The sequence below is a fragment of the Homo sapiens genome, chromosome 2 (genome assembly GCF_000001405.40).
Source record: "Homo sapiens chromosome 2, GRCh38.p14 Primary Assembly".
Taxonomy (NCBI): Eukaryota; Metazoa; Chordata; class Mammalia; order Primates; family Hominidae; genus Homo; species Homo sapiens.
The window spans coordinates 183,077,314-183,101,711 of NC_000002.12; the positions used below are offsets into that span (position 1 = coordinate 183,077,314).

The 24,398-nt window shown below is 38.2% G+C and overlaps 1 protein-coding gene across 4 annotated transcripts, besides 1 other annotated feature; it reads left to right on the forward strand.

The window, feature by feature from the left end:
• Nucleotides 1-1,433: 1,433 nt before the first annotated feature.
• Nucleotides 1,434-22,695, forward strand: DUSP19 (dual specificity phosphatase 19). Of its 4 annotated transcripts, none has more exons than NM_080876.4 (4): nt 1,434-1,846; nt 6,195-6,241; nt 9,727-9,879; nt 18,118-22,695. In NM_080876.4, exons 1-4 carry the CDS (start codon nt 1,621-1,623, stop codon nt 18,343-18,345), a joined length of 654 nt encoding a protein of 217 aa, NP_543152.1. In that variant the 5' UTR covers nt 1,434-1,620; the 3' UTR covers nt 18,346-22,695. The 4 variants fall into 4 exon arrangements, 3 of the variants coding, with proteins under 3 accessions (NP_543152.1, NP_001308448.1, NP_001135786.1); NM_001321519.2 differs by having other exon boundaries at nt 9,845-9,879; NR_135688.2 differs by lacking the exon at nt 6,195-6,241.
• Nucleotides 12,204-12,403: an enhancer, noted in NCBI's record as "active region_16838". NCBI's record gives its function as "activates an Ori minimal core promoter by ATAC-STARR-seq in GM12878 lymphoblastoid cells {active_cell/tissue: GM12878}" and the evidence as "EXISTENCE:reporter gene assay evidence [ECO:0000049][PMID:35858748]".
• Nucleotides 22,696-24,398: the final 1,703 nt, after the last annotated feature.

Genomic DNA, 24,398 nt, shown 5'->3' on the forward strand with positions numbered 1-24,398 from the left:
CTCCCAAAGTGCTGGAATTACAGGCATGCGCCACTGTACTGGGCCTATTCCTTTTTCAAGAGGGAGAAGTTTGGTTTATATCTCAGTTTGCTCAGGCTGCTCTAACAAAATGCCATAAACTTTGTTGCTTAAACAACCGAAATATATTTTCTTACAGTTCTGGAGGCTGAGAAGTCCAAGATCAAGGTGCTGGCCTATTCAGTTCCTGCTGAAAGCTCTCTTCCTGGCTTGCAGACAGCCAGCTTCTCCTTATGTCCTCATACTGTCTTTCCTTGGTCCATATAGGGGAGCAGGCAGATTTCTTTCAGTTCTCCTGAAGCCACTAAACCCATCATGAGGACCCTACCCTAGGGTCTTAGTCTAATCCTAAATTACATCCCAAAAGTCCCATTTAAATACCATCACCTTGAGGTTTAAAGCTTTAACATATGCATTTTGAAGGGACAGAAATAGTCAATCCATAACAGTTGAATTTTTTTATGTCAGAAAGTTTCAACAACAACACAAATTTTAATATGTGGTATTGGAAGAAAAGTTTTCATAAGTGCAACTTCTTCATTTTATATATGTGTTTATACATTGTGTTGAAATTCATTTAAAATTACATTTACTTTAATAGGGGTTTGAAAAATTTCTCTTTAAAGGAATCTTGTGATTTCTTTTGCAAAACTTTTTTTTGGTAATCAGAATCATCGTTCTATAATTTATTTATCTGTTTTACAAATTTGGATGCTTACACAATTGATTTTCTTAATTCTTCGTATGGATGGACTTGCTGCAATTCTTATTTAGGATGTATATTTACTGTATGAAATGAAAATGTAGGCTGAAAGTCAGAAAATAAATAAATTTTAAGCTCTTGTCAATCTACATATATGAGCATAAATTTTAAAAAATATATCTTTTTTCCCAGTTTATTTAAATTGTTGCCTCACAAATACGCACAACAACTTTATCTAGTAAACGTTCCTCTTGCATTAACAGCAAAAGCAGAAGGTGTGAAGGATACAGGAAGCGAGAAATAACTTTTAACGTCTGCTCTAGCCCTCCTGGACTAGCCTAAAAGCAGACAGGCAGGAAAGGCTTTGGGACATAGGGTGATTTGCAAGGTGACTCCGCCGGTCTCTTTCAAGCGGGAGCGATACACAGGTCAGCCCGGATCGTCCATGGTCACTGCCGTAAGTGACACTAACAGAATATATCAGAAAATCACTGCCTTTAAAGAACCAGGACATATCATTCCTCTCTCCAACGAAGTCTTATATTTTACCATTCTGCGTGTATTAGAAAGCTAAATTTAAACAGCAACAATAAGAAATCTTCCCCAGTGGATCCCTCGAGCCTTTCGGGAAAATGCAGGTTTCTGGCTGACAGGAAGAAGAAACAGCATCCAATCGGCACTTGTGTCTCAATGACCAATCAAATTTCGCCTTACATTGCATCGCTGGGATAAACGGAGCTGGACGACTCAGTCTCTTGGTCTGTGGCTGCTGCGGTTACCTGGATGGGCGAGCACCTCTGAGGCTGGCTTTGTTACCTGGGCAATAAGGGACTAGCAGTTCAGCCGTTTTCTATGCCTGCTGGATTTGTTTGTATTTGTTCCCAGCCACTGCTCATGTAATGTACTCCCTTAACCAGGAAATTAAAGCATTCTCCCGGAATAATCTCAGGAAGCAATGCACCAGGGTGACAACGCTAACTGGAAAGAAAATTATAGAAACATGGAAAGATGCCAGAATTCATGTTGTGGAAGAAGTAGAGCCGAGCAGTGGGGGTGGTTGTGGTTATGTGCAGGACCTTAGCTCGGACCTGCAAGTTGGCGTTATTAAGCCATGGTTGCTCCTAGGTGAGTATATCGACTTGCCACTAGATCATTGAGTCCTTTTAGCCAGATTACGTTCTCATTTTCCCCCTTTATGCGTAATAGTCTGTATTATCAGCTATCCTGCCGAAAAGCTGAACTGTTTCCTTTTTTGGATATGGAACTTCCATTAGCCAGCTAGAGCCGTTTCTGCCTCACAGTGTACCCATAAGAAGCATAGATGCTATTCTCGTAGCACTTGGCACTGCATATTTGAATTTTAGAAAAGCTTTCTTCCCGTTTCTCTAACTTCTCTGGAGAATAACACATTGATGTTGTGTTTTCTTGGCTTATAAAAAATACAGCTTGAAAAAAAAGGAATGAAAAAAGAATGTTTGTATCAGGCAGAACTACAAGTGACAATGGTTAAAGTTATAGAAAAGTTAATACTCGAAATAGTCCTGTGCTTGCTGGCCTGCGCAGCTCTTACAGACCGTGCGGAATACATGCCTCCTGTGGCCACGTCTGTTCATGGTGTCTGTTTTTGGAGTGTTTAAGAGAAGGAGATCTTAAGATCTTATGATTTATTTCGTATTATGGAAATACTGAGCCCCTATACAAGCATAGTTCACAAATAGCAAATGAAGCAAGGTTATAAAAGTGCAAACTTGTTAATTTGGCAAGAATATGGTATGGTGTTCTTAAAAAAATAGTCAAGAATGTTTTCAAGTACGTCTGAATTATTTCTATTTATGAATAGAGAAATTAAGACTTGGAAAGACTAAATGACTTATCACTATGCAGCTAAGGCATTCTTGAATAGAGAGAAGACTGAGAAATAGCCCAGGTGCTGTTCACCTAGTGTCTTACTCCTTTGAGGAATCCTGTGAAGTAGGGATTATCAGCTTTGTTTTACAAATAGAAACCAGGATTTAAAATTGGTGAAGTAATTTACACAAGGTAACACACCTGGTAAATAACAGACGTATGCATCAAGCCCAAGTCTGATGGACTCCTGCTGTCCATTGTTATACTAGGCTGCCTCACATAGACCAAGTTTTCAATCCTGCTCCGCCTCTAATTTACTAGATTAGCTGGTGCAAGCCATTTATCCTTTCTGGTCCTCCAAAAAGCCATTTGTAAAGATGAAGTAACAGTATCTGCTTATGTCATAGGATCCTCCTGAGGTTGTTGTAAAAGGTTTTTGATGCAAATCAATTGCAGTGTACATATAAGTTATTAAATATTATATGAATTGTTACATAGGCTGTCTTTAAATTCACCAAATAAATGTCTCTAACTAGTTTCTACAGTCCCGTGAAAAACTGTACCATATTCTTGTCACATTTACAGTGAAAAAGTGAGTTATTTAGGTAATCTGAAAAGTTCACCTAGGCCCTGCTCACCATATCTAGGAAAGAAAATACGTCCTGGCACATTTTTCAGTTATTTTGGCTTCCACTGTAGTAATCATGGCTTGGAATAATTATGGTAGAATTTTCATATATCATTCACCAATTTAGGGTCTTCATGAACTTTGCTTATTACTATTATTTGTGGACTTACCCAAAGTGAACTGATCAAGGTAGTGTTCTGAGATTGGGGTTGGAAACCTCCCCAGGATAGTGGGAGAGTCCTGGGAGGAACTTCTGAAACTAGCCCTAATAAGGTCTTCTCTGGAATGGGATACTTTCATCAGGAGCAACCTCCTCCCTTCTGAAAGCTCACCTTTTTCTGCCTAATTACAAGTGCCTCATTCCTAAAGGATCCATGGGTGGTTCCACCCGCAGTTCTTCTACATGAATGTTGAAAGAGTTGTTTCTGACCAGACTTAGTTTACGTCTGGGAGACTGGGGTTGTTTGCAGGTTGGTTCTAAGAGCTTCTTTCACCTCCTCAAAGCGACACAGCTTCCTCCCAGCATCGCATGCCAAACAACTTTTGGTTTGGGTGATGAATAAAGAAAATGAAGAGTTGTAAAAATGTAATCTTTTTTAGTTCGTAAACTCTAAAAAGTGACTGCATTTAAAAAATATTACATAGGCCCTCGAACCATTTAAAAATGGAGAAAAGATTTTAGACAGCATTTTTGTCCTAGGCTTTGAACATTATATATAGACAGATAATTATTTATTATTTATTTATTTATTTTGAGATAGGGTCTCAAAATAAATCCAGGGTGGAGTGCAGTGGCACGATCTTGGCTCACTGCAACCTCTGCCTTCCAGGCTCCAGCGATCGTCCCACCTCAGCCTCTGAATAGCTGGGAATACAGGTGCACACCACCATGCCTGGCTAATTTTTTTGTACTTTTTGTAGAGATGCGGTTTTACCATGTTGCCCAAGCTGGTCTTGAACTCCTGGGCTTGAGCAGTCTGCCCGCCTTGGCCTCCCAAATTTCTGGGATTACAGGCATGAGCCACCACGCCTGACTAAACCACCAAATTTCAATTATTTGAACCTATTTTTTCCTCTGGAGTTGGTTAGGGCTTTCTACATTAGAAAACAGAATTTTAAAAAAAATTATGAAGTATTTCAAATTTATAGAAAATTACAGAAACTAATAGACAATTATGTATATACCATTCAGCTTTAACAAATGTTAATATTTTGATAGGCTAACTTTTAAGTATAATAAAGCTGAATGTGAGCTCAGTAGCGAACCTGTAAGCTTGGTATTATCAAGAGGATATTGGCCAAACAGCATACTTGCTGGCCTTTCAGCCACCTAAAATCACATAATAAAAGTTGGCTGAATTCCCAGATGGGTAACTTAAAAAAAAAAAAAGTTTATGAAATAGAACCTAATTCAGGAAAGTAAAATACTTGAAATCTTTAAACTGTGAAACTCACTTTATTTTGACTAGTTATTCTCCATATGAACTTGCTTATTAACTAGAGCCAGTTTCCAAGTGTGGGAGATCTGGGAAGCCGGCTGTGACAGAAAGAGATTGTAGAAGGGCACAGCCCTAGTGATACATGGAGTGTGGGTGGGATCCTGCAGACCAACAGCATTTGCTCTAAGCTACTGGGTGTTCCCAAACCAGCTGGCACAAAGTCATCTTGTGGGTGTGTGGTTTTTGTAATATCCTTTTTTAAGTTACAAAATAAAGAGATGTTTATTGTAAAAAGTCAGAATGAGCATAAAGAAGAAAAAAAAATCACCTGCAACCCCATTGTTAACATTTTGTTCTATGTATACCTCCTTTCCATTTTTTAAGCATATACATATTTTTTGTTGTTATAAAAATGGATGATGGTATTTTGTAACCTGCTTTTATAACCAGATACATTGAGAACATTTTTCTTTTTTTTTTTTTTTTTTTTTTGAGACGGAGTCTCACTCTGTCACCTAGGCTGGAGTGCAGTGGCACGATCTTGGCTCACTGCAACCTCTGCCTCCCAGGTTTAAGCAAGTCTCGTGCCTCAGCCTCCTGAGTAGCTGGGATTACAGGCATGCACCACCATGCCCAGCTAATTTTTGTATTTTTAGTAGAGATGGGGTTGTGCCATGTTGGCCAGGCTTGTCTCAAACTCCTGACCTCAAGTGATCCACCCACCTCAGCCTCCCAAAGTGCTGGGATTACAGACAGGAGCCACCACTCCTGGCCAAGAACATGTTTCCATGCTATACATATTTTACCACATTTCTTCTTTCTCTCTTTCTCTCTCTCTCCCTCTCTTTCCCTTCCCTTTTGTTCGTTCGTTCGTTCGTTCCTTCCTTCCTCCCTCCCTCCCTCCCTCCCTCCCTCTCTCTTCTCTTGTCTTGTCTTGTCTTTTCTTTTCTTATCTTTTCTTTTCTTTTGTTTTCTTTCTTCTGGCTGTGTCACCGAGGCTGGAGTGCAGTGGCATAACCATAGCTTACTGTAACCCCGAATTCCTAGGTTCAAGGGATCCTCCTGCCTTAGCCTTCTGAATACCTGGGAATACAAGCATGCACTACCATGCCTGGCTAATTAAAAAAAATTTTTTTTCTATAGACAGGGTCTCACAATGTTGTTCAGGCTTACATTTCTTATTTCTAATGGTGGTAATGGCTGTATGTATTTCACTACACAATTATACCATTTTTTATTTAATGCAACAGCTATTATTGGGCTTTTAGTGTTCTTTTGTTTTTGTTTTGTTTATATTACAAACAATACTATGGTGAACATCCTTACAGCTAATCTTTGCAACATCTATAACTTTTAGGACAAATTTTTAGAAGTAGGATTTCAGAGTCCAGGAGTTTATGTAGGATGACTGTTATCAAATTGCCCTTCAGAAAGTTGGACTAAGGTCCTTCCAAGTTGTTGGTCTTTTTTTTTTAATAACAGAATTGCTGTAGAAATTTATATAAAAGTTCAAGATGATTATATTTGTGTTCAAGGTGGTATCATTTATTTCTTCTAGGGTCACAAGATGCTGCTCATGATTTGGATACACTGAAAAAGAATAAGGTAAAAAAATGCTTTAAGTCTGGCACCATATACACAGAATATTTTAATTGTTTTATTTAGGAAAAACTGTATTGGTCCATCTTTGGTATATTATGGAGTTTATTTGGTAACATTTTGGCTATCATTTCAATAGAGTTGAAAAATAATTGGCACATAATTCAAATATGTGGATCTGTAATCTGTCTTTCCAGTTTTACATTCTTCTTGATCTCCTTCATGTACCCTCATGAACCTGACCTTGGAGGCATGTCTTTCTTGCCTGTGTTTATGTAGTTCCTCTGTGTGGGATAGACTTTCCCTCATCTCTGCTTGTCCAAGACCTGTCCATACCTTAAGTCCCAACTCACATACCACGTCTTCTGTAATGCCATTTCCAGCCACTCTACTCCATACAACTGATGTGATTTATTACATATTTACTCAAAAGGATTTTTAGCCCTCTACCATTTTTTTGAGTACTGTTTCAGGTCATGGAATTGCTGTAGGTGAAGGAGTGCAAGAGATTCTTGTTCACTTGAAGCGTATGACCTAAGGGGCAGACAGAGAAGAGAGACAAGCAGCTACCGAACAGCGTTTGTGTGCTTTGATGGGGAAGTGCAGGGTGCTGTAGAAGTGCATAGGAGATGATGCTCTTAACCCATGTTTGGTTTGGTTTGTTTTTGGGGGGATAAGTGAGTCAGGGGAGACTTCCTGGAGGAAGTGATATTGAAGTATTTCTCTGAAGAGGCTAGGAAAGGAGTAGACAGCCTGTAATCCCAAGGCTTTGGGAGGCCAAGGCAGGAGGATTGGTTGACCCCAGGAGTTCGAGGTTACAGTGTGCTATGATTTTGCTACTGTACTCCAGACTGGGCGACAAAGCAAGACTCTATCTCAAAAAAAAAAAAGAAAGTAAAGTGTTCATACAGAATAAATGATATGTGTGAAGGCCCAGAAGCAAGAGAAAGGTGGATGCTTTCAGGGACAGAAAAGTTCAGTGACCCTGGAATAGAGAGTGTGAGAAAGAAGGGCACCAAGAGACAAGGCCAGAGAGAGAGGTAAGCATGAGCCAGATCACAAAAGGCCATGTAAGCCAAAGTTAGTTGTGTGGACTTGATCCAAAAGACTATGGAAAGCCACTGAGAAGTTACCCAGAGATGTAACAAGGTCAAATTTGCAGTTCAGAAAGATTTCTCATTAGAAGCAGTGTGGAAAATCGATTGGAGGGTTGCTCAAGTTAGAGATGGGGGAAACTGGTTATAAAGCTATTGCAGTAATCTAAGGAAAAGATGATAATGGCTGAGATTAAGATTTAGTGGAGATAGAATTAGATAGATGTGAGGGGTTTTTTAGAGGGTAGAATTCTTAAAATTTGATTACTTATGAGGCAGGATAGGGAGTGGGGCTAAGGGAGAAGGAGGAGTCAAGGCTGATGTCTAGCTTTCTTTGGTAACTAAGTAAAGTTATCGTTCCATGAGATTGAAAGCAACGTAGAAGGAACAGGCTTTGAAGGAGAAACAGTGTGCTCAGTTCTGAACATGTTAGGTTTTGGGTGATGTGGATCATCTAGGTGGGTGGATATGTAGGGTCTGAAGTTCAGAATAGAGGTGAATATATAGATTTAGGAATCTTCAGCTTTTAAGTAGTTACTGAAACCATTAGAATAGATGAAGCTGCCTGGGGAAAAGTGTAAAGTAAGAGAGAAGAGGGCCTATGACAGAATCTTATCACAGAACTGATAAATTGAGGAATATCACCCTATATGGAATGATCAAACAAAGAAGAGTCCGCAGTGGGAAAGGAGGATCTAAAAGAGGCCCAAAGAAGGTAAAACAAAAAGATGGTGTCATGGAAACTAAAGAGAATAGTGTTTTAAGGAGGAGAGAGTCAGCAATGTCAGATGCTGTAAAAGTTTAAGTACGATTAGGACTAAATTATATCCATGGGACTTGGTGACAGAGAGGTTGTTAGTGCGTTTGGTGGAAACAGTTTCATTTGAATTGGAGGCCAAAGCCATATTGCAAAAGATTGAGAAGTGAGGAAGTGATGGCAAAGGGAAAAAAAAAAAGAGAGAGAGGAGCCATAGGTGAGGAGGGGGAGGGGAGAGCTTTGAGCATGTTTTAAGGCTGATGGTAGAAGAAGGAATTGAAGATACAGAAAAGCAAGAATTATGACTATAGGGAGATGCCAAGAAAGTAGGAAGCACTGTGACTCCAAGCACAGGTTCTGGAATGAGCCTTATCGAAGATGCACGAGCACATCCTTCATTGTAATCAGAAGGCAGAGGGGAAGTACAGATGTGGACAAGGTTGTTAGGTTTTTTTTTTTTTTTTTTTTTTTTTTTTTTTTTTTTGAGGCAGAGTCTCGCTCATTTGCTCAGGCTGGAGTGCAGTGGCATGATCGTGGCTCACTGCAACCTTTACCTCCTGGGTTCAAGTGATTCTCAGCCTTTGGATTATCTTAATGGACTGTCTGCCTGGCTTTCTTCCACATGGTTGGTGGACTCTAGGAAAAGGGGCTCAAATACATAGATGCAAGAGGAGGAGGTTGCTCAAGTGTACCATCTGAAAGAAAATATTTTACAACCACACCTCCCCTTACTTTTCAGCCAGATTGGTTCATCAGAATCTCTGGGTATGAGACCCTGTGTTATTGATAGTTTTTAAGAGTTCATCAGGTGACTCTAATGTGCAGTCATCCTGGAGAACCATTTTATAAAGTAAAGAATATGAAGGAAAATAGGGAAATAATTCTTGAAAGGGAAGTTGTATACCACTGATACACTTCTCCTATTTAAGTTTTTATATGGATATTCACAGATTAATTCAACAAAGATTTTAAGCATTTTCTGCTAAACTCACTGCTCATTCGCTTATAACACTAAGTTAAACATGGTCCCTACCCTCATGGAGTTTCTAGTGCAGTGAAAGAGAAAAACAATCTCTAAATGGCATGAGCTATAATAGGGCAAGTCCAGGGCTATGAAAATATATAGGCCAGGTGTGGTGGCTTATACCTGTAATGCCAGCACTGTGGGAGGCGGAAGTGGGAGCATCACTTGAGGCCAGGAGTTCGAGACCAGCCTGGGCAAAAAAAGTGAGACCCGCCCCCCTCTTCTCTGAAAAAAAAAAAAAAAAAAAAAATTAGCTGGGTGTGGTGGTACACGCCTGTAGTCCCAGCTACTTGGGAGGCTGAGGCAGGAGGATCACCTGAGCCTAGGAGTTCAAGATTGCAGTGGCCTATGATTGCATCATTGCACTCCAGCCTGGGTGACAGAAAGAGACCCTGTCTCTGCATGATGATAATAATAAGTTAAAAGAGAGAGAGAGAGAGAGAAAACATATAGTAGAAGGAGCACTTCTGGTGTGGGATTGAAGCAGTATTATCATTCAAGTGAGTCGCATTTAAATTTTTTACCTTTCTTGTTATAGATATCAACACCCCAGTCTCTTTTTAGGTAACCTAATTCATGGGATTTAAAACAATCATCTTTTTTCTTTCTCTTTAAGGTGACTCATATTCTTAATGTTGCATATGGAGTTGAAAATGCTTTCCTCAGTGACTTTACATATAAGAGCATTTCTATATTGGATCTGCCTGAAACCAACATCCTGTCTTATTTTCCAGAATGTTTTGAATTTATTGAAGAAGCAAAAAGAAAAGTGAGTTTTGTTTTGATCCATAGTTCTGCAGAAGCAGAAATTTGAAAGTGTGGATCCATTACCCAATCTTTATTATTTTTATAATGAATCTCTAAAAAACAATTATGAAATTTCCCTTCTAACAATATTTCATTATTTCCTACAATTATTTGGTTAATTGCTCTTTTTTCAATGAGATGTTTAGTTTCAACATTAATTCAGACTATAAAACAGAGACTGCTCTAGACTTGTTAGTGTATTTATGATGATTAATATGCATTTGATTTTAATGAATGAGATAGTTATTGTGAAACTATGCATTTTTAGCAGTAAAATTTTAAGGCACTCTAAGGACTAAATGTGTATTGCTTTACTTAGATTGTATGAAAATGCTGATCAGAAACTGTCTGTTGGTTTTCTGAAGTTAGAAGACCAATAGCCAATGTCATATAGTACTTCAGGCTTGTTATTGAAGTCAACATTCTGACAGGCAAAGTTTCTAGGTTGGCTGTTATCAACAATTATTCCTTGAAATGTCATCATTTTTAGTCAGCAAATAATTCTTACAGACTTTATGTAAGATACGTAGATGGGAAAGTAGAAGCATTTACAGAGAGAAATAACTCTTCTGGAACACCTAACAATGACAGGATTACAATCAGGTTTAATTGAACTCTGGCCTACCTTCTCTCCCTTTATCTTTTCTCCTTCCCATTTTCTCTTCCTCTCTCCCTTCTTTCCTTTCATTTAGTAATATTTATTGAATGCCTTAGGTGCCCAGCACTGTTCTACGTGCCTTCCTACTAGACTACCCAGAAAATATAAAACTATTCAATTCTACTGTTCATCAACTTTACTTAATAGCAGATACAGTCATGCACTGCATAATGATGTTTGGACTGCATATATGATGGTGGTTCCATAAGATTATAATAATGTATTTTTACCATACCTTTTCTATGTTTATGTATGTTTAGATACACAAATACATACCATTGTGTTACTGTTGCCTACAAGTCAGTACAGTAACATCTGAACAGGTTTGTAGTCTTGGAGCAATAGGCCATACCATTCTAGGTTTGTGTGAGTGCACTCTGTGATGTTTACACCACGAAGAAACTGCCTAACAACACATTTCTCAGAATGCATCACCATTGTTAAATGATGCACGACTGTATTTGGATGGAAGCAAAGGAAGAGGTTTTTTTTGTTTTTTGTTTTTTGTGTTTTTTTTTTTTGTTTTTTTTTTTTTTGAGATGCAGTCTCACTCTGTCGCCAGGCTGGAGTGCAGTAGTGTGATCTCGGTGCACTGTAACCTCCGGCTCACTGCAACCTCCGCCTCTCGGGTTCAAGTGATTCTCCTGCCTCAGCCTCCCAGGTAGTTGGGACTATAGGAGCACACTGCCACACCCGGGTAATTTTTTGTATTTTAGTAGAGACAGGGTTTCACCGTGTTGCCCAGGCTGGTCTTGAACTCCTGAGCTCAGGCAGACCACCTGCCTCAGCCTCCCAAAGTGCTAGGATTACAGGCATGAGCCACTGCACCTGGCCAAGGGAGAGGTTTTTTAATTCAAAGCCTAATATTGGCCATTCTGTTTTCTTGTTAAAAAATTTACAGGCTCTGGATTGTAACATTCCAGTGTGTGAGTTAATAGTTTTAAAAATAAAAAGGATGTTTCTGTATTGGCTCCTTCTCTAAGGAGATGTAGAATATGCCAGAGATGGCAAAGTATAGATATCATCCATATTCATATTAACATTAGAAGAGATGTAAATGTTGCAAGTAAAAATTAGAGAGGTTAATCATATCTAGAAAGAAAAGCAAGAGATTGAATATTCTAATAAGCTTGGAATTTTAAATAAATTTAAAAAATAAAGTTTGCCTTAATTTGGGCCAGTAAATTAGAGTGGATTTTAGCTTGGGTTTCCTAAAAATAAAGCCTGAGATGAGGATTTAGAGCTTATGCTTAATTTGAGAGGTACAATCTCTAGGCAGTGAGAGTGGCAAGAAAGGAAAGTGATTCAAGGTGGGACGAGAAGCAATACAAAGTGATGCGTTTACCCTGCTGGGCTCATTTCACAGTGAGCTGACTGTTGGCTATTCAGCAGGTACAGCTACTCTACCACCCAAAATACCTCTGGACAGGCAGTACAAAGAAACTGCACCTCAACCCAGCCTGGAAGGGAGGATTTATCTGCCTGGCTTCCTGTCAGCTCCTGTTTCCCATTGGTCAAAGTTTGCCAGTGGGGATATAACCAACCCCACAATTCTAGGTTATAACATTCCACTCTTTCAGCAGCCACCTCGAAGCCAAATCTAACACCCAGTAATACAACTTTTCAACCAAGTTGAGAATTAGAAAATCCAGAACTCAGAGTACGCCTGTCTATACTGTGGACACCATGGAAGAAGAGCTCCTTCTTTGACAGGCAAAAGTGAAAGCAGGGGAGAGCAGTCAGCCATGGAGGTGGTAGCCGAGGTGGAGCATGCTGAGAGGGTCTGTGAGATGGCGGCACCACAGGAATCTGAGGAGCTGCAGAAAATGTTTCTGATAAGATGAATTAGATTTCAGAAATATGTTCTACCCTCTCAAGCCTTGTGTTTTATACTGGAATCCTAACCTCAGCCAATATTTCCCTGCCCTGAAAACTCAGTGCCATGACACAATCTCAGCTCACTGCAACTCCACCTCCTGCACTCAAGTGATTCTCCTGCTTCAGCCTTCCTAGTAGCTGGGATTACAGGTGCGCACCACCATGCCTGGCTAATTTTTGTATTTTTAATAGAGACGGGGTTTTGCCATGTTGGCCAGGATGGTCTCAAATGCCTGACGTCAAGTGATCCACCTGCCTCAGCCTCCCAAAGTGCTGGGATTATAGGCATGAGCCACCATGCCTGGAAGGCTAATATATATTTAGTTTTAGCAATAAAAATTCTTGAATTTTTTTCATTTTTTTTAAGAAAAGATCTCTTCATGCCTTTGTCTATTTTATATTCAAGTATTGTTAAATCTAATTACTCAGTGAATTACATGTTTCAAAACTACCTTTCTAGGCTATAGTTTGTTGTTTTCATCTTTTTGCATACCGTTGCCAAATGGAATGGATTCCATTTCCTAAGTCTTTACTCATTTCCCTCTGTACTTGCAAAACTCTATTTGGCTTCTCTGTCCTTCCTTTATGCCTAAAGGGACAGAAATACACCTGAGAAGAACAGTAATGGTAACTTCTATAGCCCAAAGAGTCCTTTTAGGAACTAAATTTATTTGTCCCCTCTTTTTATGTACAAAAGGTACAAAGTATAACAATGTGTATTTGATATTTCATGTTCATTGTTTATAAGATGTGATTTTAAAAACATGACGTAAGTAGTCCATGTTCTTTGTAGAAAAAATGGAAAATGCAGATGAAAATTAAGACACTTCCACACTTAGATATAAGCATTGTTAGCATTTTGATATATTTTTCTAGACCTATATATGTATTTTTATAAAAATAGTATCATACAGTTTATATTCTTTTATAGCCTGCCTTTTTTTTGGGAGGGCAACTTCATGACTTTATTTGTGGTACCTGTGCTTTATCTTGAAAATACCTTCTCCCCCTGTCCCAGACAGCGGGCTGGGAGGGGGCAGCAAAAAATAGAAGACTTCCCTCCCTATTGCACATGGACCCTATGTACAGGCCCACCCGGCTGAGGCCAGCAGGCCTCTTGGCACATTCTTGGATCCCTGCTCAGGAGGGGAGGGCTGACGGGGTGCTATCACATGTGAGATCGGGAACTCTGGGCGGCCACTTTGGTCCTGGGTACTGATATTTGCACTTCTTGGTCCTCAGTTCCTTCCTGGTCCTGTCTCTGGCCCTAGTCCCCTCTGTATAGCCTGCTTTTTATACTTGATGATTCAAATCATTTAAAATTTTTGCACAGTATTCTGGTAGTTGGTGATTCTATAATTTATCTTATTTCCTGCTATGAGACATGTAAGCTGTTTGTAGTTTTTTGTTCAATAGAAGTAAAAGTTCATTAGAGAGACATTATGGGTCTAAATAAGTACCTAAATTCACGAAGTTTTTAGATGCTTCTGTTACAAGTAGAGGGTCATGACTGCAAGTTGTCCAGGTTCTTGGCATTTTGAACAAATAATTGGACAAAACGCCCATCAAAGCAAAGAAAGAATGAAGCAACAAAAGAGCAAAAGCAGGGATTTATTGAAAGTGAAAGCACACTCCACAGTGTCGGAGCAGGTCCAAGCAGCGGCCCAAGGGACAGGATACAGAATCTTCTTGGGTCCAAATACCCACTAGAAGTTTCCCAATGGCCACTTCATGCTCACCTTATGTAAATGAAGTGGTATCCTGCAGTCAGTCTGATTGGTTGGAGAAAGCAGCCAACCAGAGGCTGAAGTGAAGTTACAAAGGTCACGCTCCTGTGCAAACATCTGATTGGTTGCAAAAAGCAACCAGTGAGAGGCTAGGGTGAAGTTACAAAGTTATACTTCTATGCAAACGAAGACTTGGCCTGCAATTAGTCTGATTGGTTGTGGACAGCAAATTTCCCATCTGCATGCAGAAAAGGTGAGGGGTTTGCAAAGGCAGTAGCCCCCGGTGCTTTTGTTACTTAGGTGTGGAAAGTTAGGGTTTTCCTTTGAATTTAGTTCTGGGAAATCGGAGTAAAACAGCCTTAGGTTCCCTGCCACCAGACCCTATTCTCTTGCTTTACTTCTTCCATTTTGTTTCAAAGCAGTCTACCCATCACTTTTTTGTATTTGTCATATTTACATTCCCCTCTACTACTGTGGATAGTCATGAGTGGACTGTTCTGACCTGTGCTCCTCAAAGTGTTGTCCAGTTTGCTACCAGACCTCTGCAGGATAAGAAGGTTGTGCCTGAATATAAACCAAGACATTGCTTAGTTCTTTGAGAGATTTTGGCTACTCCCCCACCCCACCCAAACGCTGAACTAAGGAGTATATTTTTAGTGACAATTGATTTTCATTCCACTGCAAAATTCTTATTTCATCATAGGTGGCTGTCAAGCACTTGCAGACTATCACATTATACCCAAGGTTTTTTTAAGTTCTGGGGCACATGTACAGGATGTGCAGGTTTGTTACATTGGTAAACGTGTGCCATGGGGATTTGCTGCACTTATCAACCCATGACCTAGGTATTAAGCCCAGCATGCATTAGTTATTTTTCCTGATGCTCTCCCTCCTCCTACCCCACCTAACCCCGACAGGCCCCCAGTTTGTGTTGTTCCGCTCCATGTGTCTATGTGTTCACGTTGTTCAGCTTCCACCTATAAGTGAGACATGCAGTGTTTGGTTTTCTGTTCCTGCGTCAGTTTCCTAAGGATAATGGCTTCCAGCTCCATCTGTGTCCCTGCAAAGGACATGATCTCATTCTTTTTATGGCTGCATAGTATTCCATGGGGTATATGTACCACATTTTCATTATACAGACTATCATTGATTGGCATTTGAGTTGATTCCATGTCTTTGCTATTATGAATAGTGCTTCTGCCCAAGTTTTTTTTTTTTTTTTTTTTTTGAGACAGAATCTTACTCTGTCAACCAGGCTGGAGTGCAGTGGCATGATCTCAGCTCACTGCAACTTCCGCCTCCTGAGTTCAAGTGATTCTCCTGCCTCAGCCTCCTAAGTAGCTGGGATTACAGGTGCCCAGCACCACGCCCAGCTAATTTTTGTATTTTTAGTAGAGATGGGGTTTCACCATGTTGGCCAGGCTGGTCTCGGACTCCTGACCTTGTGATCCACCCGCCTCAGCCTCCCAAAGTGCTGGGATTACAGGTGTGAGCCACTGTGCCTGGCCATGCCGAAGTTTTAATGGAAGTTAAATATAAGGAAAAACACCTGGGCCTGGCTCAGTTACTGTTAACAACTATTAATTACTTATTCTGAGAAGATGTGAGGGATACACATTGCTGCCCTCAAGGAGCTTGAAATCTAGTTGAAAACTATAATAGCACAAGAACAAAGACAACTCTATGAAATGGAAATAACATAGCATAATTACTATCTGCCTATAGGTTACTACTTGCCCATAGCAAAATGGTGATTTTGAATTTTTGAAAGAACACTTTCCTTTCAGAAATGCAGAACAAATGTATTCACTTAGCAAAAAGTTATGGAATAACTACTATATGCCAAGAATTGCACTAAATACTAGGCATACAAAGATGGTTAAGACATTCCTCATACCCTCATTTCACTTGGAAAGAGGCAGTCTTAGAACAGAAGTCAGAATTAGCTGTACCAAGAAGAGCAAAGGTCTTCTAGGCATAGGACAACAGCAAGTGCAAAGGAAAAAAAAAGTGGTTTATAAATTGTTTGTTACTATTTTGAGCTCTGGAAAAGGGATATAAAGCCAATAATTTCTCTGGAAATACTTTCAAGGACAATATGATACCTAAGGAATAATCAAAAGTAGAAAGTAGGTAAATTGAAAAGCTGTAGAAAAACAGCTATTATATAAAGTAGAAAGAAGAAAATAATATCATTTGAAAACATTAGCTAAAATTGGATGCACAATGTGTAAGACTGAAAATAAAGCTAGTTTCATGTTCAAAAGCCTATGTATGCATCATAAAGTAAAGCCGACTAGTATATAAGCAGGAAATATTAAAAGTGACATTGAAGGGTATCTCTTGCTTATTAAGGTTATGATTGCAAGTTTCTTTGGAGTATCTAATTAATTTGTTTTATGCTAAATGAAGTTCATTAATAATTTTCATCAGTTACTTTAATATAATTTTTAAACATCTTAAGTTTTGTAAAAATGGGCTATTGCTACAAAATGAGAAAAGTTCCCAAGGTGTATAGTGAATATTTGTGTTTTGCTTTTCTTATATAGAAACTGTTGAAGTTTGAAAATGAGTCATAAATATCTATAGAAAAGAGTAATATCCCATAGTAATGTAAGATGTGAAAAAAGAAAACAATTGATATTTTCCTTTTTTATATGAGGATTTTCAAAATGTTAACTAATTTTGTTATTAATCATTTGGCTTTCTTGAAAAGAGATGCACTTGCAAATTTGTTACAGCAGATCAAGGAAAGGAGTTTTGCAACAGATGTCTGAATCGGAAAACTGCCTTGCAGAAGTAAAATAATCCAATGAGTCATAACAATAGTATTGTTAATATGTGCTTTGGGTAGAGGGTTTTCAGTAGTATATTTTTTCCCTCCTGCTCTCGTCTTTTTTTGTGTTGTACCAAATAAAGAATCAAGAAATGAAGTAACTAAAATGTCTAATTCTGGAGGGTGTGCTCACAGTTCACCACATTTCATTTAGATCATTAACTTTTTAAAAGCTTCAGATAGGCCAAGCTGTATCAATGCTGTCCCATCAGATCTATCACATTCATTATTAATACAATATTGCCCCCATCAGCATTGGTCTTGCACTGTGTCTCTTTTCACTTGGAAAGTATCATTTGCAAGTTACCTGAAATGTTTTTCATTTATTGACCTCATGCTGGTATGTGATTACCTTTTCCACTTCACATTGTTATGAGCTATTTGTGTCACATTTTACTACATCGTAAGTTTAAATATTTTTAAGTAACTTTCTGCCAGGATAAAATATGTGCAAGGGTAGAAAATTTTTTCCTTGCTGATTATTTAAACAGATTTGCAAGCCATTGACACTAGCTTATTTATGAGAACACTAAGTATACTCTGGAGTATTTCTGGCTTTCTGTTTAGCTTATAGTTATGATTTTATTTTATGTTTCCACATATATTTCCTGTGGTTTTTTTCTTATTTATATACACTTATCTACTAAGTTGTTAGGTTTTATGTGTACTTTACTGATACATTTGGCTACAAAGTTGTTAGGTTTTCATGTGTACTTTACTGATACATTTGACTACTAAGTTATTAGGTTTTTATGTGTACTTTACTGATACATTTGGCTACTAAGTTGTTAGGTTTTAATGTGTTCTTTACTGGATTACTTTAGTTTAATGAAAGATACTGTTTCAGAATTCCAAACATCATTAAAGCATTTCAATCATGGGTTAGTAGGTAAGGGAGGTACAGGTTGATTGATTGATTGATTGAGTTTCCATTTGTTGCTGGTAATGAATTTTATTTCAATAATCAAATAAATTGAATCAAATAAATCAATAAAACTGAATATTTACTTTATACTTTCAAGTAGTATAAGAATGTGCAATTGATATAATAACCTTTCTCAAATGAATAATGAAGATTTTTGTTTGTTTTTTTTTTTGTAGGATGGAGTGGTTCTTGTTCATTGTAATGCAGGCGTTTCCAGGGCTGCTGCAATTGTAATAGGTTTCCTGATGAATTCTGAACAAACCTCATTTACCAGTGCTTTTTCTTTGGTGAAAAATGCAAGACCTTCCATATGTCCAAATTCTGGCTTCATGGAGCAGCTTCGTACATATCAAGAGGGCAAAGAAAGCAATAAGTGTGACAGAATACAGGAGAACAGTTCATGAGTTGCATTGTAGCAGACAATGGACAACTGTAGTTTCTGAATTGACTTCTATAGCCATCTTTTCCCTTTTTTGGAGAGTAGACTAGCAAAACTCCCTTTTTTCTCTTGCCTTTTTTATGCATAAATGGAGGTCAATTTGATTGTCCTGACCTACTGTATAAGTAAATTTCAAATGTCATTACTTTCTCTTTGTTATTATAATGTGTGATTAAATGCTTTTTTAAATTGCTAAGGGAAAATAACAAAGTGTTAGTAATCATTGCTTTCTGTAGAAGAAAAAGGTTTAAATTTAAAATGTGTATTTAGAGCATGGAGAGAATCATTTAATGAAGCCTATTTTTCTGTTCCAGCAACTGTTTTTATGAAAGAAAAACTTGAAATGCTACTTAACTTACTATTTCAAAGGGAAGTATATTTCTTTTTAAAGAATCTTTTTAAGATTAAAAATGAATACCTTAAATCTCCCAAAAGAGATAACCAGTATCTGAAGGTTTATACAATATTTACACAGTGGCTACAATATTCACAAAATTCTTATGTTCTCTTATGAAAAATATACACTTTTCATTTTGTCTTCTTCTTTTTTTTTCTTTTTTTAGATGGAGTTTGGCTCTTGTCACCCAGGCTGGAGTGCAATGGCGCAATCTCAGCTCACTGCAACCTCTGCCTCCCGGGTTCAAGCGATTCTCCTGCCCCAGCCTCCCATATAGCTGGGATTATAGGTGCCTGCCACCATGCCCAGCTAATTTTTGTGTTTTTAGTAGAGATGGAGTCTCACCACATAGGCCAGGCAGTCTCGAACTCCTGACCTCAGGTGATCCACCCACCTTGGCCTCTCTAAATACTGGGATTACAGGCGTGAGCCACTGCATCCGACCTCATTTTGTTTTTTTCAATTCTGTTATCGGCATTTCTTTCTTTTTTTTTTTAATGTATAGGTGTTCTGTCATACGTTATTGTGAGCTTTGGTTCTTTGAACAGGTGATCTATTCTCTTACATTTTGTGCTTTTTATCTTGGGTGCCTAGCATTCTGTTTTTTTGATCCTATGTCATAATTTTTTGAGAAAATGTTTGATACTGCAAGATCATTGTTTAGTGGTCTGTTTTCTACTTCAGTATTCTACCAGAGAACATATTTTTTAGGGGAGAAGGGTTATGGTTTTGTAAGAAACTTTAAATATACTTTTAGGAGACCCACAATCATTTACAGTTTTATCTTTGGCCTTTGAATAGGTTCTTTTTTCTTTAATGTCTCCGTATTTGAAGAACTGAGCTCTGTACATTATAAATTTGCTTAAAGATTTTGATTTTTTCTTCAGAATATGGTATACTTAAAATTAATTAATTAAGACAGTTTCTTTTTTCTTTTCTTTTTTTTTTTTTTCGAGACAGGGTCTTGCTCTGTCACCTAGGCTAGAGTGGAGTGGCATGAACACAACGCACTGCAGCCTCTACCTCCTGGGCTCAAGCAGTCCTCCCACCTCAGTCTCCTGAGTAGCTGAGACTACAGCTGTGCGCCACCACATCTGGCTAATTTTATTTTTATTTTTGTAGAGACAGGAGTCTTGCCATGTTGCCCAGGCTGATCTCAAACTCCTAGGCTTAAGTGATCCTCCCGCCTTAGCCTCCCAAGTGCTAGGATTACAGGCATCAGCCACCACGCCTGGCCTGATAGTTTCCACATAGTTTTTCATGACTTAGAAGATATCATTGCCATGTAGGTTTTATTTTTAAAAGTCTTGAGCTCTTCTTAAATATACATTATAAAGAGCAAGCATAGATGGAAAGTGCATATTGAACACATCTGTGCATTTGAGAAGGCAGGCTTTCATATGCTGTCATGAGCAAAAAGTAGAAGTGATAAATGCAAGTTATGTTTTGAGATTGCTTACACCGTGACAAGATGCCATCACTTGTGATGTTATGAACTGTTATAAACTCTTTGCTTCTGCTAAGAAGCAGTCTAAATATAATCAACGTACAGTGAGCTCTTTGAAGCCAACCAAGGCAGGCAGAACCCTCTTAAATATGAGACTGATGTATAGGTTCTCTCTATGGTCAGTATCACTGGATAAGCCTTCTCCTTTCATAAGAAAGGATGTATTTAAATACATTTTATTTTGCTAAATCCTGTTTAGTTTTCAGCCATTAAATGTCACATGAAGCCTTGATAGAATTTGTTCATAATGGCTCATGTATTATTATTATTTTTGAGATGGAGTTTTGCTCTTAATGATATTATTATTATTTGAGACAGAGTTTTGCTCTTATTGCCCAGGCTGGAGTGCAGTGGCGTGATCTTGGCTCACTGCAACCTCTGCCTCCCAGCTTCAAGCGATTCTCCTGTATCAGCCTCCCAAGTAGCTGGGATTATAGGCATGTGCCACCATGCCCAGCAAATTTTGTATTTTTTTTTGGTAGAGACAGGGTTCAACCATGTTGGTCAGGCTGGTCTCGAACTCCTGACCGCAAGTGATCCACACGCCTTGGTCTCCCAAAGTGCTGGGATTACGGTGTTAGCCACTACACCTGGCCTGGATTGTGTATTATTTATGTCTGTAGTTTATATGCTTAGTTGTTGCCTATAGTGATCTGGGTAAGATTCAAACATTTATCTTTTGTATCTTCTACAGAAGTGCTTTGAGCATCAAATTTGTTTTAACGTTAAATTGTAGTTTGCTGTATTAAAATAGATCAATGAATATAATTCAGTCTTTTAGGGGCACCAAGTAAAGCATAAGGTCATATATACTATACAATATGTTTATTGCACTTCCCATGGGGATAAATCACTCTGTCATTCCTAGTTATTTTAAAAAAAGAACTTTATGATTACGGTCCTCTTTCTCACATACTGCAAACTTAAAAGATACATACACCAAATATAGGTCTGTTTTAAAGGAGAGGAAAAATAGTTCAAGGAGTTTTTGCCTCTTTGTTTTTCAATAGATTATTCTGCCATTTTTTAAAGGAAAGGGAAAATGAAAACAGCATGTCTTTTTAAACATTGAAAAGAAATATGGAGGCTTTAAACCGCAAACTGAAAAAGCTGAGTAGAACAAAGGCAGTGGAGCATACAATACAATTCTATTTATTTGAGGTTAATTGAAGTTAATAATTTTTAAATTTTTTTCTAATTTTATGCCTTAAAATAGGTTTCTGATTACATAAAATTTGAATAGAACACTCAAGAAGTATGTAGATTTTTGAAAAACCCAAACAATATTCTTCTTAGATTTTTGGAGGCAAAATTTAGACCAGTATACTAATTCAAAAGACAAATATTTCAGAGGAAGTGGAGTACAGTATTTAACATTTTGTTTGCAATTTTACTTTTTCTTCCCTTCTTCCCTATTGAACCTTGATTAAAATGTATGAATACAATACTTGGATTTTTTTTTTTCAGCTTAGACTCTGATAATTTCAGTGGTAGTGGGGAAACCTGAATTTGTCAGCATGATTATTTGTAACTCAGATTGTTCAAATGTATATAGAAGGTCCCCTTCAAGTGTTGTTTCTCCAAGTAGTCATAAATGTAGCAAGTATAAATCAGAATATCATCTTATAATCTTACAGAGTTAACCTAATGAGTCAATACCTTTATAAGCAAAACCATGATAAATTTAAAAACAACAGAAATGTGGCATGATTACTTATTTATTTGTTCCAGGTGACTCTAAATAGTTGATTTTTCTGCCTGAAGGATCCTGAACATATTTAGTTACCCTGTAGTTATTTAGGAATTTAAACCAGAAGACTTTGAAGTTGTATATTCTTGCAATGCATAAAATGACATTATAATCAACAAACTTATGGTTTGTTTCAATTGATGCACACAAAAAATAACTTATAGTTAGACTTTTCTATTTCAAGTAAAGCTTTGAGTTACTTGTTTTTATACATATTCATCATGTACCCTTTATTGTTTCTAGGTGTTGATATACTTTAATAAAAATGATATGTTTAATATTTTCCCATTAATATATTTCTTTGAAGCTATTTGTTTTAAAAGATGTAACACTTATTTGCTGTCAAATTCTGAATTAAAAAATCTGTTGGTGGCCAGGCGCAGTGGCTCATGCCTGTAATCCCAACATTTTGGGAGGCCAAGGAGATGGATCACTTGAGGCCAGGAGTTCAAGACCAGCCTGGCCAACATGGCAAAACCCCATCACTAAAAATACAAAAATTACCCGGGCATGGTGGTGGGTGCCTGTAATCCCAGCTTCTTAGGAGGCTGAGGTAGGAGAATTGCTTGACCCTGGGAGGTGGAGGTGGCAGTGAGCCGAGATAGCACCACTGCACTTCTAGTTGACAGAGTGAGACTCTGACTCAAAAAAAAAAAAAAAATGTTGGGAAGACACACAATTTTATATTTTAAAATGTAAGTTAGTTTAGATCTATGAAGATTTGTTGTTCCCGTCTCTTCAAGAAATGAAAAGCCGGCTGGGTGCGGTGGCCTGTAATCTCAGCATTTTGGGAGGCCGAGGCAAGAGGATCACGAGGTCAGGACTTCAAGAGCAGCCTGGCCAATACGGTGAAACCCTGTCTCTACTAAAAATACAAAAAAAATTAGCTGGGCGTGGTGGCACACGCCTGTAGTCCCAGCTGCTTGGGAGGCTGAGGCAGGAGAATCGCTTGAACCTGGGAGGCAGAGGTTGCAGTGAACTGAGATTGCGCCACTGCACTCCAGCCTGGGTGACAGAGCGAGACTCTGTCTCAAAACACAAAAGAGAAAAGCTAAAGTAAGAGCATATAATTGGCATCACTGTGGACAGATTGTCAATGAAAATTCAATAGAATACCTTATTTAAGGTAAGAGAAGATGCTGAGTTACTGTCAGATTAAATTACCCTACATTCTAACTATGACTGCATTGAGATTATTTGTACATAGTGTGGCACCCACCTCCCACGCTCATGCAAACAGGCTGTTATATCTTTGTAATAGTTATTTTAAAATGTACAATAAATTATTGTTGACTGTAGTCACCCTGTTGTGCTATCAAATACTAGATCTTATTCTATCTAGCTATATTTTAATACCCATTAGCCATCACACTTCTTCCCCTCATGCCCCCACTGTTCTTTCCAGCTTCTGGTAACCATCATTCTACTGTCTATCTCCATGTGTTGAACTGTTTTAATTTTTGGCTCCCACAAAGGAGTGAGAACATTTGAAGTTTGTCTATCTGTGCCAGTCTTATTTGACTTAACATAATGTCCTCCAGTTCTATCCATGTTTTTCCAAAGGACGGGATCTTATTCTTTTTTATGGTTGAATAGTACTCCATTATATATATGTACTACATGTTATTTATCCATTCATCTGTTGATGGACACTTAGGTTGCTTCTAAATCTTGGCTATTGTGAATAGTGCCGCAATAAACATGGGAGTGCAGATATCTCTTTGATATATGAATTTCCTTTCTTTTGGGTATTTATCAATGTTCATCAGGGATGTAGGCCAATAGTTTTCTTTTTTAATGTGTCCTTTTGATTATTATTATACTTTTAGTTCTGGGATACATGTGCAGAACTTGGGGGTTTGTTACATAGGTACACATGTGCCATGGTGGTTTGCTGCACCCTTCAACCTGTCATCTAGGTTTTAAGCCCCGCATGCGTTAGGTATTTCTCCTAATGCTATCCCTCCCCTTACCCCCCACCCCTCGACAGGCTCCAGTGTGTGATAATCCCCTCCCTGTGTCCATGTGTTCAGCTCCTACTTATGAGTGAGAACATTTGGTGTTTGGTTTTCTGTCTCTGTGTTAGTTTGCTGAGAATGATGGTTTCTAGCTTCATCCATGTCCCTGCAAAGGACATGAACTCATTCTTTTTTATGGCTGCTAGTATTCCATGGTATATATATGCCACATTTTCTTTATCCAGTCTATCATTGATGGGCATTTGGGTTGGTTCCAAGTCTGCTATTGTAAATAGTGCTGCAATAAACATACATGTGTATGTGTCTTTATAGTAGAATGATTTATAATCCTTTGGGTATATACCCAGTAATGTGACTGCTGGGTCAAATGGTATTTCTGGTTCTA

Bases quoted from the DNA above. Each gene is read 5' to 3' on its own strand.
- DUSP19 (NM_080876.4), top strand. From the start codon at position 1,621: ATGTACTCCCTTAACCAGGAAATTAAAGCATTCTCCCGGAATAATCTC. The intron at 6,242-9,726 runs GTAAAAAAATGC...TTTCTCTTTAAG, and splicing joins ATACACTGAAAAAGAATAAG to GTGACTCATATTCTTAATGT. The intron at 9,880-18,117 runs GTGAGTTTTGTT...TTTTTTTTGTAG, and splicing joins TTGAAGAAGCAAAAAGAAAA to GATGGAGTGGTTCTTGTTCA.